Source organism: Homo sapiens, chromosome 4 (assembly GCF_000001405.40).
Source record: "Homo sapiens chromosome 4, GRCh38.p14 Primary Assembly".
Classification (NCBI taxonomy): Eukaryota; Metazoa; Chordata; class Mammalia; order Primates; family Hominidae; genus Homo; species Homo sapiens.
The window spans coordinates 107,640,153-107,658,583 of record NC_000004.12 but is presented as its reverse complement, the minus strand read 5'-3'; the positions used below and the strand labels follow the sequence as shown (position 1 = coordinate 107,658,583).

Sequence of the window (18,431 nt, the reverse complement as noted above, 5' to 3'; positions counted from 1 at the left end):
CATTGGAGAGCCACTGCTGTATGCTTAGTTAAAAAATGAGCATATCCAGCTTACATTAACGATAAGTACATTGTTCATCGGTCCTTTGACGTTCTAATGGGATATGCTAGAAATCTCAAAGTTCAAGAAATAATAGTCTTTGTAAAATGAAGAGTACTCTGTCATGGGTAAGAGACTTTTCTTGGAAAATATTTTATTTAATGTTTCTTCCTTTCTTTTTTTTTTTTTTTAAATGGAGTCTCGCTGTGTTGCCCAGGCTGGAGTGCAGTGGCTTCCCTTTTTTTTTTTTTTTCCTAACAAGACCACAGAACAGAAGGTACTTAATTCTATACACCTTTTTTTTTTAGAATACAGTACTTTATGGTCACTTTTTTTGTGAGTCACTTGATGGACCAAGGCTCTTCTTATTTATTGTGTATCAAGTGACCTCAGCCAGTATTTTCCTTTTGAAGTTTAAATGGTCTTAGCTGGCCAGTGGGGTGATTCCTGTGTCTTTCCAGCAAGATTTTGTTAATCTTGGAAAGATTCCTTGCTTCCTGGCTCAGCAAGATGTTCCAGGCTCACCTTATACCTTCTAGCCCTATGATTGGATTCAGCCTTTTCTCCAGCCAGCCCTAGTTCCTTTTTGGAGACCATAAGCTGTGTGCTTGGGTGCACTGTAAAGGTACCAAACTGTCAGATAAAATGCAGCTTTACAGATAAAGGTGAAGTCTTCTCTATGAAATGATTATGCCATCATTTTACATTTCCCTGATGATTTATGAGAATAACCATTTTTTCAATACATTTATTGGTCATTTGAGTTTCCTTGTCTCCCAATGACTTCTTTTTTTTTTTTTGAGACATGGTCTCACTCTACTGCCCAGGCTGCCAGGCTGGAGTGCAGTGGCATGATCTCAGTTCACTGCAACCTCTGCCTCCTGGGCTCAAGCGATTCCTGGCCCAAGCAATCCTCATGCCTCAGCCTCCTGTAGCTGGGACTACAGGAATGCGCCACCACATCTGGCTAATTTTTTGTATTTTTAGTAGAGACTGGGTTTCACCATGTTGGCCAGGCTGGTCTTGAGCTCCTGAGGTCAGGTGATCTGCCTGCTTTGTTTTGGCCTCCAAAGTGCTGGAATTTCAGGCGTGAGCCACCTCCTCTGGCCGTAAAGTTTCTCTTGGTTAAGGAGAGTGGTTATCAAAGTATTAGATCATCACTGTTATCATTTTCTGGGAACATTTTAGAAATACAGATTCATGGGCCCCACAGCAAACTGACTGAATTTGAAACTCTGCAGATGAAGCAGTCTCATTTTAGCAAGCTTTCCAGGGGTTTGAGGTAAAGTTTGAGAACCACTAGTTTAGGAGAGGCTGTCTTTATTAGAAATACTTGGAGGCCTAATGTTATTTAAATTTAATAGGAGAAGGAAATATTTTCCTAGTGCCCTTATTCTTTGTTAGTTTGGTATAATCTATACTCATCCTTACACTGTTTGTTTCCATTGCTTTCAAAATTAAATTCCTAAAGGTCATCACTGCTTTTGCTCATATATACATGCAATAGAAAATTTTGCTTTACTTTCAAATTTACTAGGTGGATATGCAGTGGGTGCAGGTTTTGGCAGAAGGTTGGGCAACCCCATTGAATGGCTTTATGAGAGAGAGGGAGTACTTGCAGTGCCTTCATTTTGATTGTCTTCTGGATGGTAAGACATTTTACATTCAAAATTATATTGTATGTGGAAGAGAAATTACATAGTTGCAGAGATTTGTCACTGTTTACAAAAAGTAGTAGGGTAACGTCTTAATAGAGGTAGCATTATAAGACTAAGTTATATCAGTACCGAACACTTTATTTAAGTGAATCATGAGATCTCATTTTCGTTTTTCCGTGTCCTGACTCTTATTTATTGCAAAGAGAGAGGGAAAATCTGGGAATCAGGGCTGAGGATGGATTGTAAAACACATACAGTTATTCTGTGCTGTTTTTGCCTGATCACTGTGGAAAGCTGCTTCCCACCCAGGGCATGTACGTGCTGCGTTTTGCAGTACTGAAGCCCATGCTTGAGCTTTCTAATGAGGAATTGTGGAGTCTTAGTTAAGGAATTCTGAAATATGTGGCTAAAAATGTGGTCCTTCCTATTCTTTTAAAACATTAACAAAAAATTGTCAAAGAAATTGATGTTGGCCAGGCGCAGTGGCTCACGCCTGTAATCTCAGCACTTTGGGAGGCTGAGGGAAGTGGATCACCTGAGGTCAGGAGTTCAAGACCAACTTGGCCAACATGGTGAAACCCCATCTCTACTAAGAATACAAAACTTAGCTAGGTGTGGTGGTGTGTGCCTCTAATCCCAGCTACTCGGGAGGCTGAGGCAGGAGAATCGCTTGAACCTAGGAAGTGGAGGGTGTGGTGAGCCAAGATCATGGCACCACTATACTCTAGCCTGGGCGAAAGGATGAGACTCTGTCTCAAAAAAACAAATAAATAAATAAAAAATGATGTCCAACATATAATCATTATAATGCAGCAGCCTTTAATTTTGTGTTGTATATTGTTGGTAAGATTAATTTACTACCTTATGAAAATATTTTTAAATGTCACAGAACCCTACTATAATTGCTACCAAGTTTTTTGTTTTGTGACTTATTTTAACTGGGTGGTGAAATAGATATTAGAAAACATAATTCCTAATCATTCTTCTCAAGAAACTTTATCACAAGAACATAAGGATTAAATAATGCATTTTGATTTTCTTCCTTGGAGCTAATTGCAAAGTCTTGTGGACTACCTCCTTTACGATGATTTAGTCTTGGGCTTGGTGCAAATCTACCTATTCATTTTCCATGTTACACTTTACCTAGTGGTAGTAATTTAAAAAGCAGCCAAGCAGTTATCATTACTCTCGTTGACATCTTTTGTTCAAAGAAGATATGCCATGATGTCCAAAAAATATGATTTCTTTAGTATATAAATAGTCCAAATATGAATGTGAGAGCACACTTTATTTTTCTAACCCATAGATGATGAGTAGAAAAAAGATTTTTATAGCTTGCAAGGTTGCATGCTGAGACTGTGCCTTTAGTATCACTGACAACACATTTTGGTTTAAATACAGTCATTACTGTCTTTATTTCTTGGTTAGTGATAGCTGGTATCAGTTTGAATTTGACTGTATTTAAAAAAACTTTTTGGATAGTTCTGTCTTCCTATCTCAAGGATACTCAAGTATACTTAATCAACTTGCCACATAAATTGTAGTTATTATGTCATCCTGTTATCAACAAGGATTTAAGTTTTTCCTGAAAAGGCCCAGAAACGTAGTTCTTTGTCTCTTTCATATATTGGAAGTGCACAGTATGTATTTGGTGATGTTAGGCTTAACCAGCTGATTCTTTCTTGTTAAACAGTTTGTTTTACTTATGTAATTCTATACCAAAATGTTGTACCCAAAAACAGTTTGATTCTTTTAATTTTTCCTTTTTTTTTTTTTTTTTTAACTTGGGAGATCGTTGCTCATTCTCCCTGACCTTATAGCTTGTTCTGTCTTTCGTTTTTCTGTGCCAGGTACCAGTTGAATACTGTCACTGGATCTACAGCCTTTTATTATTTGAAAAGTGTCCCCTGAAGTGAAAGGTGGGTGTTAAGTAAAGCGTGTTGAGTAATTCAAGCTGTGTGCTTCATGTTCTTTTGTGCTCTGCAGGAGGTGTCATTAACTTGTCAGTACCTATAGTTCTGACTGCGACTCATGAAGATAAAGAGAGGCTGGACGGCTGTACAGCATTTGCTCTGATGTATGAGGGCCGCCGTGTGGCCATTCTTCGCAATCCAGAGTTTTTTGAGCACAGGAAAGAGGAGCGCTGTGCCAGACAGTGGGGAACGACATGCAAGAACCACCCCTATATTAAGGTGCTGAAAAAACCTCGCTGCATTTTATCTTGATTTGCCAATGATGTTTGTGCTGAAATGTGGGCATTTTCTGTGTATTGACTTTTCATTGGAATTGTTAATATTTTGCATAGTAGAGATTGGACCTTAGATTATTGTGATGAGTGTTTATGCTCTTGTCATTTTGGTCCAGATAAATATTTATTCAACAAACATATTTTAAATCTCTATTGTATACATGGCACTGAGCTAGGTGCTGATGCTAGGAATGCAGGGCCAGGGACACCACCGGCACAGTGTTTCAGCTCTTGGAGTATACAATCTCGTCGTGTGCTTAGGCATGTACTTATAATGAGCGTGTGAGGTAGAGGCTAAGGGAGCCCTCACCAGGGTGGTTTGATGTGAAAGCAGTGAAATATAATTTCTCTTCAAAGTACCTCATTTATTATATATATATGTTGTATGTGGAATGTTATTGAAGTCAAATTTCTGTCAGTTGTTAGGTGTGTTAAGGTAGACTGAGAAAGAAGCTGGGCACATTGTTGGCACATAAGCCAAAGCCTCATGGGGAAAAGGAGGGCTGGAGCTGCCTTGTGAATATGAACAGGTCCTGGAGGGTAATAGCTCCTCCTTTCGGATGCAGGGAAAGGAAGTAGTAAAATTGTAAGAAATTTGAGGTGGTGTGGAGATTGGAAGGCATGAATTTGTATCGAACTCGATGATCATTAATTCTTCAAAAGGTTAGGATTGGAGAACACAGTGTGGGGTGACCCAGAGCTACAAATTGTTCTGTTAATAAATGTATGATAATAACGAAAAGAATGTTTTTGTTACTTGAAAAGGTGTAATTATTCGCATTGCTTTTGTTTGCCTTTCATATGTAAAGATAGTTATTTCACAAGTTTTCTGGGAAATCACAAAATCGATTCTAATTTTATAGCATCTCTAATGTCAATTTAGTTGATAAGTCAGATTTACCTCATTTAAGATGAGAGTAGCTTACAACGACTGTATTTAGCTTATATGAGAGAAATGTTTTTACTTATTTTGATCTCGGTTTCCATTAAAAAAATTTGTTTTTCCTATTAGATGGTGATGGAACAAGGAGATTGGCTGATTGGAGGAGATCTTCAAGTCTTGGATCGAGTTTATTGGAATGATGGTCTTGATCAGTATCGTCTTACTCCTACTGAGCTAAAGCAGAAATTTAAAGATATGAATGCTGGTAAGACATGGATTTAATTACCTAATATAGGCCGGCTTGGAGAGAAAGTTCTAGACGATTTTTTCCAGTGCTTACGAAAATGTAAAACGATGAGTACAGGTAAATATAGCAGTGGAATATGTAAAGAAAGGTAGTCAATCAAAACTAGCCTGGGTAGTTTCATTATATTGGTATAATTTGATTTGACATTATTTTGAATACTCTGGAAGCTAGATGCTAATGCAGAATTTACCTTTTATTTATTATAAAACTCGCATGTTAAAGCTGAATGGAACTATAGAATATTATTTGAATAATTCACTCATATAAATATGCTTTATATGTCAGAGTGTTTTACATGAGAGAGATATATATTCATATATATTCATGTATATATTCATATATATTCATATGTATTCATATATATTCATATATGTATTCATATATATATTCATATATATATGAATGTCATGTATCTCAGAATGTTTTACTTGACATTCATATATTGGAAGTGCACAGTGTGTATTTGGTGATGTGTCACAGCAAATAATGATACATGACCATTGTATCATACCATTGTACCAATGATACACGACCATGATTTAAACAATAGAGAAAGTTGTTTAAAGCAAAAATTAAAAGAAACAACACTGCGCATAGAAATACTTCTCAAAACAATTCATCAAACTGTCTTTGGGTACAAATTTTTGGTATAGAATTACAGAAGTAAAAGAAACTTAACAAGGAAGAATCAGCTGGTTAAGCCTAACATCACCAAATATATACTGTGTACTTCCAATATATCAATGTCATTTATCGCAGCAAATAATGGAACAACGGAACTTTTATCATGTTCACTTCATTTAAAAAATGTTTCTGGATCTTTATATGCCAGTATGCCATGTGCTGAGGATCCATAAATAAATACTCTAGGAGCTTATGGTATAGAAGAGAGAGACATTAAACAATAACAGAAAAAGTTATTTAAGAGCGGAATAGAGAAGCTACAGATGCTGTTCTTTATAATACTGCTTTCTATATTATAAAGCACTCCAGGACAGGATTTTTATATCATATTTCCTGCTATTAGGTCTTTGACACAGAGGTGGGTAAATGATGTGCTTACCTTGGTGCACCCATACTCTTTCTATACCTGCAAATTCAAGGTTCTGTATCAGGGAACAGCATTCACTGTAGATTTGGGGAGGCTTTTTTAAGCCTTAAAATTGGAAGCATCCTGCAGTTGTGCTCCTAATTAATTCCCACCCACTGCAGAGATGGTTTGGCCCTAAGCACTGGTGCTGCTCTCTTTTATATTTTCTGTGTAGAAATCAGATGGATGTGGTTGAGAAAGGGCAGGTGAATGTGTTTGCCTTTTTGGGGTATATAGCTGGCCACCAAACCATGTTTGTGAACCAGAGGCCCTCGTTCCAAGCAACTACAGAACAACTGGGAAAGAGCAGGCATTTCATTTGTGTTTGTCTTAGTGTCGGTGAACTCCAGAATGCTCCTGGTAGGCATTCAGAGTTCTGTGTTCAGACTCTGCCTCACCACCTAGCAGTTGTGTTTGTGGGGAAATTACTTTTCTCTCTAAGGCTCATGGACAATTGTTGAGGATATTGATGGTACCTAAAGCATAACATTTTACTTTAAAAAGTGAAATAAGATGTGTAAGGCACTTTAAACTGTACTGCTATGTAGTAAGAGATTAAGTTGTTGATACGGTTTGGCTGTGTCCTCCCAAATCTCATCTTGAATTGTAGTTCCTATAATCCCCACCTGTCATGGAAAGGACCCAGTGGGAGGTAATTGAATCATGGGGGTGGCTTCCCCCATGCTATTCTCGTGACAGTAAGTTCTCACAAGGTGTGATGGTTTTATAAGGGGCTTCCCCTTTTGCTTGGTTCTCATTCTCTCTCCTGCCACCATGTGAAGAAGGATGTGTTCACTTCCCCTTCCACCATGATTGTAAGTTTCCTGAGGCCTCCCCAGCTGTGTGGAACTGTGAGTCAATTAAACCTCTTTTCTTTATAAATTACCTGGTCTCGGGCATTTCTTCATAGCAACATGGTAATACAGGTGCCTTAATTTTTGTTGTGTGAACTGAAGCTAGACTTTATTCATGTGAAGGTTAGAGCAAGAATTATCTATTTATACCTAAGTTCTGCTGTAGACTGCTGTAGACTGTGTTATGAACTTAATAAAATGGGTTAAGAACTGGAGGCCTCAGATGGGCCACCCACTCTTCAGTGCTCCATAGTTCCTACCTAGTCTGCTTAACTCATTCACATTTCTTTCGTGGCTTCTTTAGGGTTTTTGAGTGTGGGATCCCTTTTCTCCTTTTATACTTTACTCCTGATTTTGAAGCAAATATTTGGCTTAAATTACTGATACAGAAACTTCTTTGAGTGCTATACTTGGTACTGCCTGTATAACAGCTCATTTCTCTTCTTTTTTGCTAACATGTTTTAGGCCCAGTATACAGGAATGAATAATGATTGATACAAGTTAATAATGATGCCCCACTCTTTTTTGTCAGTGTGTGATTTAAGGGTCAATGCATTAAGTCATTTCTGGCCATTGAGATCTAAGGAAGAGGGTTTTCAGGAAAGATTTTCTTTCTGACAGTGTGGCTTATGCCAGACAAATTCTGTTTTTTTTTCACCCTTCTCTTCCTGTTTTGGATGTTTGGAGTTCCTGCAACCATTTTGTATTCATGAAAATTCCAAATATGCTAACTTTTGTCCTTATACTGTGAGTTTCTCATCCAACCATGGAGTCATTTATCTCCAGATTTCTTATTCAAAGAGATAACATATATTCAAATTATTTAAGATACTTTTAGTTGGGTTTTCTGTGATTTGCAACCAGAAACATCTGGTAGTTTATTATATGTACACTTCCCTTTTCTGCTGGTGAACAGAAACATGTTTAATGGAGGACTTGCTGTGACCATGTTATTTAAATTTTTGCCAAAATTTGAATTCATATCTGGAACTGATGTTAGTAAATTAATTGTTGGCACTGTTGAAAGGGTCTTATCAAGGACTTATTCATAATTAGGGACTTTCATATTACATCTGTTTTTCACTCTTCTTTGTGAGCCAAACATTTTAAGTCATTTAGAGAATGTGTTGCATAATGAATGATTGCAACTTTGTTTAAAGTAGCTGAGAGCCAGTTATTAGCCTTACATCAAACAACAAAAATTGGAGTGTTATTTTATTTTTTCCATTTTTATACTGAGGCAAATAAGCAACAGACCGAGGAGTTTACTTTGTAGTTCTTGTTCACTCTTTTAGGAAGCCAATAACAAGTCAGTTCTGATGTGTTCAGGGGAGAGAAAGCAGGGAATTTATTTATTTATTTTCTTAATCTAGGATTTCTTTTCTTACCTCTTCCTCCTTCTCCTCCCCTCATCTTAGAAGTACTTTGATTACCCCATGTGAGCTATTGTCCTGTGCACAGCACTATCAGTTTGGCTGTTCTTAGACCATTCTGTAGCTGGGAAGGATTGAGAAATCTTTAATACACACATCGGTGATTGCAAGGTGATACATTTCCAGATGGCAAGTTCTTTGAATTACCGATGATTGACCAGTATCCTGGAGGGGAAGAATGCATTTCACTTAAGCCAAGTAAGAGCCTGTTAGTGTTTATTAAACATAGAATATTGGTGTCCTGCTGATTGCAAAGGGAAGAGTTGACATAATTTCTTTCAGAATAGTGTGTGGTAGTACAGTGTTAATAAATCTGAGAAAGCTTTATAGCGTTGCTGAATTACAAACTACATTTTAAGTGTGTAAGTGGAGACATCAGAAGAATGTTTTAAGTAAAGTTGAGGATGGTACATGAGAAAGCTGAGGCAGAAGCAGATCTATGTTTGGCTCTGAAGTGGATAGTGGATCTCGATGATAAGTGACAGCAAGCCAGAGAGCTGAGATTGGGTGAGGGAACCTGTGTCAGTCAGCTCCCAGCAGGAAGCAGAAGGCACACTCAGATGAGGCTTTGAGCATAATTCAGTGAAGCGAGTATTTAAAGAAAGGTGGTCAGAGTTAAGGGAACCTACAAGGATTTGCTGAGGTTCCAGGGACTAGTGGCATTGGGTAGTGTTAGCCAGTCCCAAAGGGGTGAGAGCAGGAAGCAGTGTTTCTGAAGCCAGGTGGGAGCTGCAGCTGTGGGAAGGCCACTGGGCAGAAGCTGGTTGCAGGGTCACTGGCACAGCCAGAATCACGCGCTGAGGCAGATGATAGTGGGGAGAAGAGCTCCCCGAAAACTTTTCTCCGTCCATCCTCTGGTTGCCTGCTAATGCCACCACCCTCAAGGCAGGAGGACAACAGCCCCTTCTAGGGGAAGCCCTGAGGGACACCTGTGCTCCCTGCCCCAGGACATCAGAGAATAGATGGGGAGGGGAATGGCAAATAAGCGGCACAGAACCCAGTTGGCACAAAGCTTTGTAGTCAACATCTTACTTTAATTTGGAAGTGTTTTTAGTCATGAGAATAGAAAGTAGTTCATTGCTGCCATACTTTAGAATATGAATTTACCAGTTTTGTGAAAAATTCTAATATCTTTATATTTGTTCAAGGGGCCCATCTCTTATTCCTTTATTTCCACCCCCCACCTTCTTAAGCAGTTTGAGTAAAAGAAAGACTGTTAGTTTATGATAATCCCAAGGGAGGAGGGGAGATCAAACTGCTTTGTTATTCCAGGTCCCTTCACAAAAACCCACAAAAACAAACATTAAGCACACACACAACTCTAGTAACCCTAGAACCATTGTCTTGTTTAGCTGCTATATTGATTTAGGAAAATCAGAAATGTCTGTTCTTGGAGCTTTACCGTAGAGAGGCAGATAGAAACCTTGGGTGGGAGGGAAGAAAGGAATTACTAATTACTGCTCTATGTAGCGCAGTCTTACAGTGAAGTTAAGAGGAAAGAAGCAAGAAGATGTTGTAATTCTATGTTCAGTGGTTGGGGTGGATACTGGGGCTCTGGCTGTGGGCTGGGATGTGAAGCACAGTTCTGGGAAGTCTGAGGAAGATTGACTAGGATTTAGAAGCACTGCCCTGCTTATCACCTCATTCATTTATTTGCTGAGTTTGCAGTTGTCTTTGGATACTCAGCTTGGAAAGAGTAGAGTCTGGGTCGCTCTGCACTGTGCCACGACACGACAGTCCTTGCTGGCAACGCCTCTAGATGAAGCGGCCTGTGGCTTGTCCTACATGTGTTCACGGAATGCTGATATCTTCATTTCCTTCCTTGTCACACATATATGCTCAGAAAAACTTTCTTAACTTTCTTCTTCCTCTTCTACCTGCTGGAAGGAAAGGGATCAGACTTCACTTGTTTCCTTAGTGTATTGGCTCCTGGACTAGGTGATAGGAAATCCAGAGGAAAGGGAGAGAACTTGCTCTGCTGGGAAGTTCCTTCACATAGACATGCAGTACAGGAGAAGGAATAGGCTTTGGGGGCCAGACCCAAATTTGGCTTGAGATGTGACAGTAATAGGAAAGGTAGAAGAATTGAGGGAAAGAGGTAGGTAATGAGCAATGTATATTGAAATAGTTTTTGTAATGCATCTGTCCGGTGAACTGGAAGGAAGGACTTAGAGATGTGGCTAAGAGAAGCCATCTGTATGTGTGCGGTAATTGAACCCAGGTGTAGGGGTAAGCTTCCAGTGAGTCTGTCAAGAAGGAATTTCATAGGGCCCAGCAGTAAGCCTTGTGGCTCCAAGAGGACCACAAGATGTCAGAAACAGGTGGTTAGACTGGAATGGCCAAGCGGAATAGAAATGTCATATGTTTGATTATAGCTGTGTAAAAATGTATGCAACAAAGAGAAAAACTGGAAGATTGCACAAAACAAAACAAAAGACCATGCTTTCAGGACAGTGCGTTTATGGATGATTTTCTCATCAAATTTTATTGGGTTTCGTGGTTTTTACTTTAAAAAAAAGCATAGAGAGGCAGATGACATATAAAAGGTTGGTGCCACAGTTAGAAGGCCTTAAGTGGTGTAGATTTTTATGTCAGTCAGTAGAGAGGTAAGGACCACTTAAATCAGGAAAGTGCCATTTGAATTTGGCTCTCATTTCATCCTCACTGTTGATGGAACAGGAAGGAATTGGTTCAATCAATGAATCCAGTCCAGCAGTGTCATGTATAGGTGAAGACGCCCATTCTTTCCTTCCCTCACTCTGTCCTCCACACTGTGGTAGTGCTGTCACCAGTCTTGTGGTAATAGTGTGGAGGAGTAAGTGAAGGAATATTGTCATGTCCTGCTGGAGTTGAAGGAACTATATTCCTTTTAACATGTATTTATTCTCTTAGGGAACGTCTTTGCTCCCCTGCTCTGACTAGACTGTAAGCCCCTGGAGGGTAGGCCAGTTTTACTACTCCCTCAGGCTCAGCATGTCTCCAGCTGCATTTGCATCCTGTCCCTGGCGGGTTTCTTCCCTGTCACTGGCTGTCGTGTAAAGTTGGGTAGGGGAGGAAGACCTATTTGAAGACAGATCTTGTGAAGAGATGATGAAGGCTGAGTGTGCTGGTAATTAGTGTGCTGCAAATGAGATGTAGGGAACAGAAGGGACTCATTACATGTGGAGGACAGGGCAAGAAGGGAAACTGAGCCTCTGAGGTAGGTAATGGTGAATTGCTGGTGAGGTGCCTGTGGAGCACTTAGAGGCAGTTGGGGAGACAGTAGTCTGAGCTTGGGTAGAGTTCTGGTCAGAAGACACAGGTTTGTAAATCACTAGTACCTAGGGCTCTGCTCAGTGACCTCAGGCACCTGAGAGCAGGGTTGGGAGGGGCTTGACGGGGAGGGCGGTGCCTGTTCTTGCTGTTGTCATAGTGTGGCTTTATTCACCAGTGTGTAGACTGTGGTCTGTCAGATGAGCCTTCATCAGATGTCCCCATTATTCTTTGAGCACTTCCCTTCTTAATGGTGCAAAAAGGTGTTCCAGCTCATGTTGTACTTTTCTTGCCCCAGCTCTAAAAGCTGCCATTTGCCAAGGAGCTCTGGTTTATTTAACTGGGGAATGGTATTTAGAATGTATGGGCTTTTGTTTTGCTTCTTGCCACTGGGTAGTCATTGTTTGTAGGACCAAACAACGGTGCTACAAAAAAAAAAAAAGTGGACAAAACTAAGAGATGTGTGTGTGTGTATGTGTGTATGTGTGTGTATGTGTGTGTGTGTGTGTATATATATATATATATATCTGTAGTTCTAGTGGTCAAAAGGGATATTTTGGCATCTTTTATGTCCATATGTAAAACCAAATTTGAAGTACATTGAGAAGGATAGAAAAATGTTAGGTCTATATTTCCCTCCTCCCATCCCAAAGCAAAATAATTTTAAATGCTTGTATATCAAGACTTTTCTGTTTTTTGTACCTAATGTCATATCAGCTATTTCCTTTGTGAAAACCAGCCCTGTTCTGTTCATGTATAAAGGTAACGTGAGGAACTTCCAAGAGTAATGATCATGCTGTAAATCTTGGATTTTACATGATGTGGCAAAACAAAAACAAAAAATCCCAGTTAAGTAGGATGCCACAGTCTTCCTGTGGTACCTTTTGTTACAGTGATAGAAGAGGGTCAGAATTGAGAACAGATTGGAGATGATGTACTATTTGGCTTACAGATTGTTAGAAGAGAGAGGCTGTTCCTCTCCCTGAGTCGAGCTGGGATCAGCATGGCATGATGCTTTGTCAGGTATTGTGAGGGCGGCAAAATACAGAGCTCCTCTAACTGGATTGGAAAGGTCTCCTGCTAGCAAGCACCACGTAGGAATGAACCCAGGGTTGTAAGCAGGAGATAAGGAGTTAACCAGTTTCGTCTGTCTAGCAGTTTTCATTGTTTTAAGGGATATTGTTGTTGCTAAACTATAATCCAAAATTCAGACCTTTGATCATAAAACAAAATATGGTTCTAGTCGAGCAAAGTAATTGTAAGTGAGCATATTTGGACAGTAAGTAAATTTTTGAAACTACAAATATATTTCTCTAACTTTCTGTCTCCCTTAGTAAAGCATTATATTAGGTCGTTTGGAGGGATTGATCTGGTGGGTAACTGAGGCACAGACCAAAAATGTTTATCTATGGTAAGCAGTGGATCCAGGATATTAGGACCAGAAAGTCTGATGATTGCTCTCATTTCCCATGAATGCAAGAAAGTAATTCTTATAAATCCATGATTGTTATAGTACATATCCTCAGATAAGTATGATTTACTTAATATTGTATAGTAGAAGTATAGGTCATGTTATCCTAAATGGTCAAAGCAGTACTTTTTTTTTTTTTTTTTACCAGTTTTCTGATTTCTGAGTTTGCATATGTTTTGCTTAATCCTAAGTATCAAGTTTTAAGAAAAATTGCGTATCCTTTGGAAAGTAATCTGTTAGAAACATGCTATTCTTAACTCTGGAAATTCTCTTTTCAGATGCTGTCTTTGCATTTCAACTACGCAACCCAGTGCACAATGGACATGCCCTGTTAATGCAGGATACCCATAAGCAACTTCTAGAGAGGGGCTACCGGCGCCCTGTCCTCCTCCTCCACCCTCTGGGTGGCTGGACAAAGGATGACGATGTTCCTTTGATGTGGCGTATGAAGCAGCATGCTGCAGTGTTGGAGGAAGGAGTTCTGAATCCTGAGACGACAGTGGTGGCCATCTTCCCATCTCCCATGATGTATGCTGGACCAACTGAGGTAGACTGCTTGTAAGATTTTCACTGCAGCAGTGTTAAAGCCACTCTTACTAACACAGCTAGTGTCACCATCCGATTGCTTTTTCTGTGCTCTGTAGGCCTGTTCCAAACATTTGTTATACATGACATTCTTTCCTGCTCGTTAGGGATATTCCCTGGATGCTAGGGGCAGCCTTGAGAAAGGAAAGGTGGGGAGAGGTTTCACTTGCTCTTCTGGGTCTTGGTCCCAGTTGTGAAGGAGGGGATGTTCCCTGCAGACAGGGCTGGGTGTGGTTGGGAAGGTATGCCACAAGCTCCTCTTGTAACTGCTGGCCACATTGCAGACACAACAACAACACTGATCTTGTCCCGTTACCAGAGTTCTAGGTCTTTGTTAAAGAGGGGAGCTGGGCAAAGCCTGTTTGTTTAAATTCTTCTCTGTGTCCTTGTGTTTTCAGAGATAGGCACGTTCCTTTCCTCTAGGTATAGGGAGGGCACCTCTGGAATGAGAGTCTTTTGACCTACTTCAGGGGAAGATCTGCTAGGTTTTATGACTGCCTTAGGGGAAGGTGAGAGTGGCTTGCTTTCTTCTGCTGTTTTCTCAAATGCCAAGGTGCCATATTTTGGAGTAGTGTGTCCTGAACCGTGTCAATATGCTAGCTGCAGCAAGTCCTTCCCTGGCCTCAGATTCAACTCTCCTCACTACCCGAAAGAGCATGGTCTAGTGGAAATAATACAAGACGGTTGTCGAGGAGTCCAGGCACAGTTTGGGTTCTGGGTTGCCACCAGCTGGTTTGCCATCTCACATTAGACTTCTTGAGACCTCTCTATACTATGTTTGAGTGCACAGTAGGTGGTGTAGGTAGGACTAAGTGTTCTTCAAGATTCTGTCCCATTCTGATCGTTTCCTAATTTGTCTTATTTTCTTTTAACTTCACATTGAAATATAATATATATATGAGAAAGTATATATGAAAAAGTACATATTATTTGAGTTACAGAAGCATTAAAAGAAAAAGTGCATCTTTCATAGATGCAAGTAAATGAATTTTTCCCATTGGAACAGAGGCATACAATCAGCTTCCAGATTAAAAAAAATTTTTTATCATCACCCAGAAGTTTTTCTTCTTGCCCCTTTCTATTCACTACTTGTCCTCCCCCTAGGAGTCATCGGTACCCTCACATTAACATCATAGGCCCAGTTAGCTTGTGTTTAAGATTGGATACCCTGAGAGCAGACTCTGAGAGTGAGGTGCGGTTCAGGAAGTCTCTTAGGGAGAACTCTTGGGATCAACACCTCTGGAAGGGAAGAGAAAGGAAGGGAGCAGGATTCTATAGAGAGGGAGGTCGAGCTACAGTTCAGTCTCAGTGGAGGCTTTAATTGAGTCCATGGAGAGCTCTGGAAAGGCCCTTCAGAGATGTCCAAAGTTGCATGGGAAATAGGCATTATACCTCCGTGTTTCCAGGGGTTGGCTGCCCATGGGAGGGGGCATACCTTTGGGTGCTGCTGCTCCTTTCAACAGAAGCAGTTTCTGAGCGGGGCGACAGCTGCTGGAGAGCCCGCTCCCTTCTTGCAGGAGGCCTGAGTATTGCATCACAGCATTAAATCCAGCTGGTTTTTAGTATTTCTGTAATTCAGATCATACCGCATATACTCTTTCGTGTCTGGCTTCTTTCACTTTACATTGTGCTTGTGAAACTCACCTTTATTGTTATGTAATTAGTGGCAGATTGTTCATTCTTGGTGCTGTGTGGTGTTTCGCTGTGTGATTTTACCCAATATTGTTGATGGATGTTTGGGCACTTTACAGATTTTTGCTCTTAAGAATAGCGCTGGCGTGAAGGTTTTAGTGCATGTCTTTTTGTGGACATTCCTGTTGGCTATACCAGGGAGGAGAATTGCTAGGTCCTTGGATATGTATTTGTTGAGCATTAGTAGATTCGACCAGTCAGTTTTTTGATGTGGTTGTACCATTTTACACTCCCATCAGCAGTGTATTGCCTCACCAGTACTTGAGTGTCCTTTTCATTTTAGCCATTTTGGTCCTTTAGTGCTGATTACTTAGCCAAGCACTCTGTAATACTTTTCCTATTTCTTAACCAGCCTCAAAAAATCTCCTCATTGAACCAGTTTCACTGAAATGGAGTCTTAGTAAATGAGTTGTAGTTATAAAGCATTGAGAAATAGAATATAATAGTCCATATTTTATTGATTTCTTACTGTATTTTTCAGACAATATTCTGAATGCTTTACATATGTTAACTAAATCCTTATAAAGATTGCTAGTTAATGTATAACTTATGTTATAAGTTATTTGTTGTAAGTTTTATGTTAGGTTTTATAACTTATGTTATAAGGATTAATCCTTATAATACTAAGAGGGTAGGTACTATTGTTATTCACAGTTCACAGGTGAGGAACCTGAAGTAGGGAGGTTAAACTGTGTTCAAGATCACATAGTATTAGTAAATGGTAGAGATAAAATCTGAACCTAAGTAATCTGGCTCCAGAGCTATGTACTATAATTTCACATAATTTTTAATATTATATAACGTTAAAATATTTTTAAAAATATGTAGCCACATCTTTTTTAAAATACTAGAAATAAATTCTTATAATATCCTATAAGAGTTCCAAAATAGTGAGTTAGGATGGCCCTGGCAACATTCGTTAGAGGTGGAATCTCCAAATAAACTTATTTTTTTATCAGAGCCTAGAGTTGTGGGTTGTGATATTCTTTGTATAATATGTATTCTTAATCTTTGTATTCTTACAATACCTGACTCATGATATTGGTAATATCTGTCTATGTTTCTATTGTTGAGAGGAGAAAATAGGATCAATGTAAATCATTTAACACATTGCCTGGCTCATGACAAGATGTGGTAATTAATATAATTGGTGTCCTTTAAAAAACTACTTTGCTGCAAATTCTCTGCATTTCTAGGATTCTAGCCCCACATCCAAGGAACTGTCTATATCTCTAGGCTGCTTCATAAGTCTATGAAGTCCTAGAGTTTGATTATGGCAGGGAGCCTGGTATGACCTACTGCCTAACAGGCTTCATGTCAGAGCGTGTGTCCTAGCCCTGATTTGGGATATCCTTTGGTGTTTAATATAATATAAAGCTAATATAAAGAAATTGAAAGTACCTATTTTATGAGTGCCTATGCATGTGTCACTCAATGAATAGCTGCTTTGCATGCATGCGTTAGGTTACCCCACAACTTGGTGAGGAAGGTTTTATTCTTGTTTTACCAGTGAGATTACTGAAGCTCAGAGAGGATAAGGGACTTAACTGTAGTCTGTCAAAGAAGACCAGAGCTGTACAGTGATTAAAGTAATAAAAACAGAACTTTATTCAGGAAATATTGCAACAGGAGAATAAAGCCCTCAGTATAGAACTGGGCTCAACTCTGAATATAGCATGGACAGGTGGGGATTGATAGCAAAGGACAGGGTGGAGGTAAGTGGATGGAAAATTACTGAGAGGAAACATTGGAAGTAGGGGATTCTGGGATAAACTGGATTCTTGCTGAAGGCAGGCCAGGATCATCAGATACCTGGGAAGTGGGTGGAAGATAAGGAATTTGATCAGATAATGAGGGTGAGCAGATACTGAGAGTAGAGGATTCTCAATAAACAAACTTAGCAAGATTTTTGCTACAGTTGGGCAATGCAGGCCTGGTAAGGATGGACACTGAAGGTCAAGGCTTAGAGGGCTCAGGGGAGCCTGACTAGTTAGTGTTCTGTCTAGGAGAGACACAGAACTGGGACTGAAACTTGGGCCTGTTTTTTTTCCTTCTAGGGCTCCTTGCTGCCAAGAAGCCTCAAAGTAGCTTTGTGCTTTGGCATTTGGAGGGAAGGCCAAGAAGTTAGTTGTTCTGGGTGCCTGCAGAGCTCCCAGGTTTTCTAGGGAGACTAAGAGGCACGTTAAAGCTGTGTCTGCCTCTACATCTCTGTCTGGAGTGTGAATTGTGAGCGTAAGAGATGTGGTTCTTTTCAGGAAGGCCCAGCTCTGATGCCTGAGCAAAAGGCGGTTTTTTAACTTCTGAACTTGTAAAGAATAAGCTTTGGAAATTCTAGTAAACATCTTAATATTTCAGACCATGAAGTGTTTTAATGTTTTTGGCCTGACAGTATTTAGGCTGTTGGATTGAGCTGCTTAGGAAAAGTATCTTTCTCGAGGACCTAACTTGTGTGTTTGACTTGTTTGACTTATTTGCAGCCATAAGTGAAGAATTTTTTTGTAATAAAAAAAAACCCTCTCATTTTTGTAGCTTTTCCAGTGACATCAGGAAAAAGTCTGTCAGTAATGCTTATTTGCCAACTAATAATAATAAAATAAAAACAACGACTCTTCCTTTAATCATTTTCTGTAGGTCATTTAGAAGGCATTGGTACCAGATTTGTTTCCTTAGCACAAATGCTTTTCAGAACCATGGGCAGCTGTTAAGCCTATTTGGTTATCAACAGGATGTTCCTGATTTTATAGTCTATAAAGATTTTATGGCTTGAATCCTAAATTCCATTTCAGGAATGGAGGAGGCGAGGATGTGAAGGGAGTGTTAACTTTCTAATGCTAAAATGGTGTTATAGATACACATTTTGTCTTTGTGAGGTATTAATTGACTATGTAGGAAATTCTATTTGTCTCATCTCACTAAATA

General features: G+C 39.6%; 1 protein-coding gene across 3 annotated transcripts in view; it reads left to right on the top strand.

Moving 5' to 3' along the window:
* PAPSS1 (3'-phosphoadenosine 5'-phosphosulfate synthase 1) overlaps positions 1-18,431 on the top strand; it is a 106,569-nt gene that overhangs the window by 61,651 nt on the left and 26,487 nt on the right. For all 3 annotated transcript variants that reach the window (NM_005443.5, XM_011532401.2, XM_011532400.3), the window contains exons 7-10: positions 1,577-1,688; positions 3,684-3,889; positions 4,958-5,093; positions 13,514-13,782. In NM_005443.5, the coding sequence (NP_005434.4) occupies positions 1,577-1,688; positions 3,684-3,889; positions 4,958-5,093; positions 13,514-13,782 (723 nt within the window). The remainder of the gene's footprint in view (positions 1-1,576; positions 1,689-3,683; positions 3,890-4,957; positions 5,094-13,513; positions 13,783-18,431) is intronic.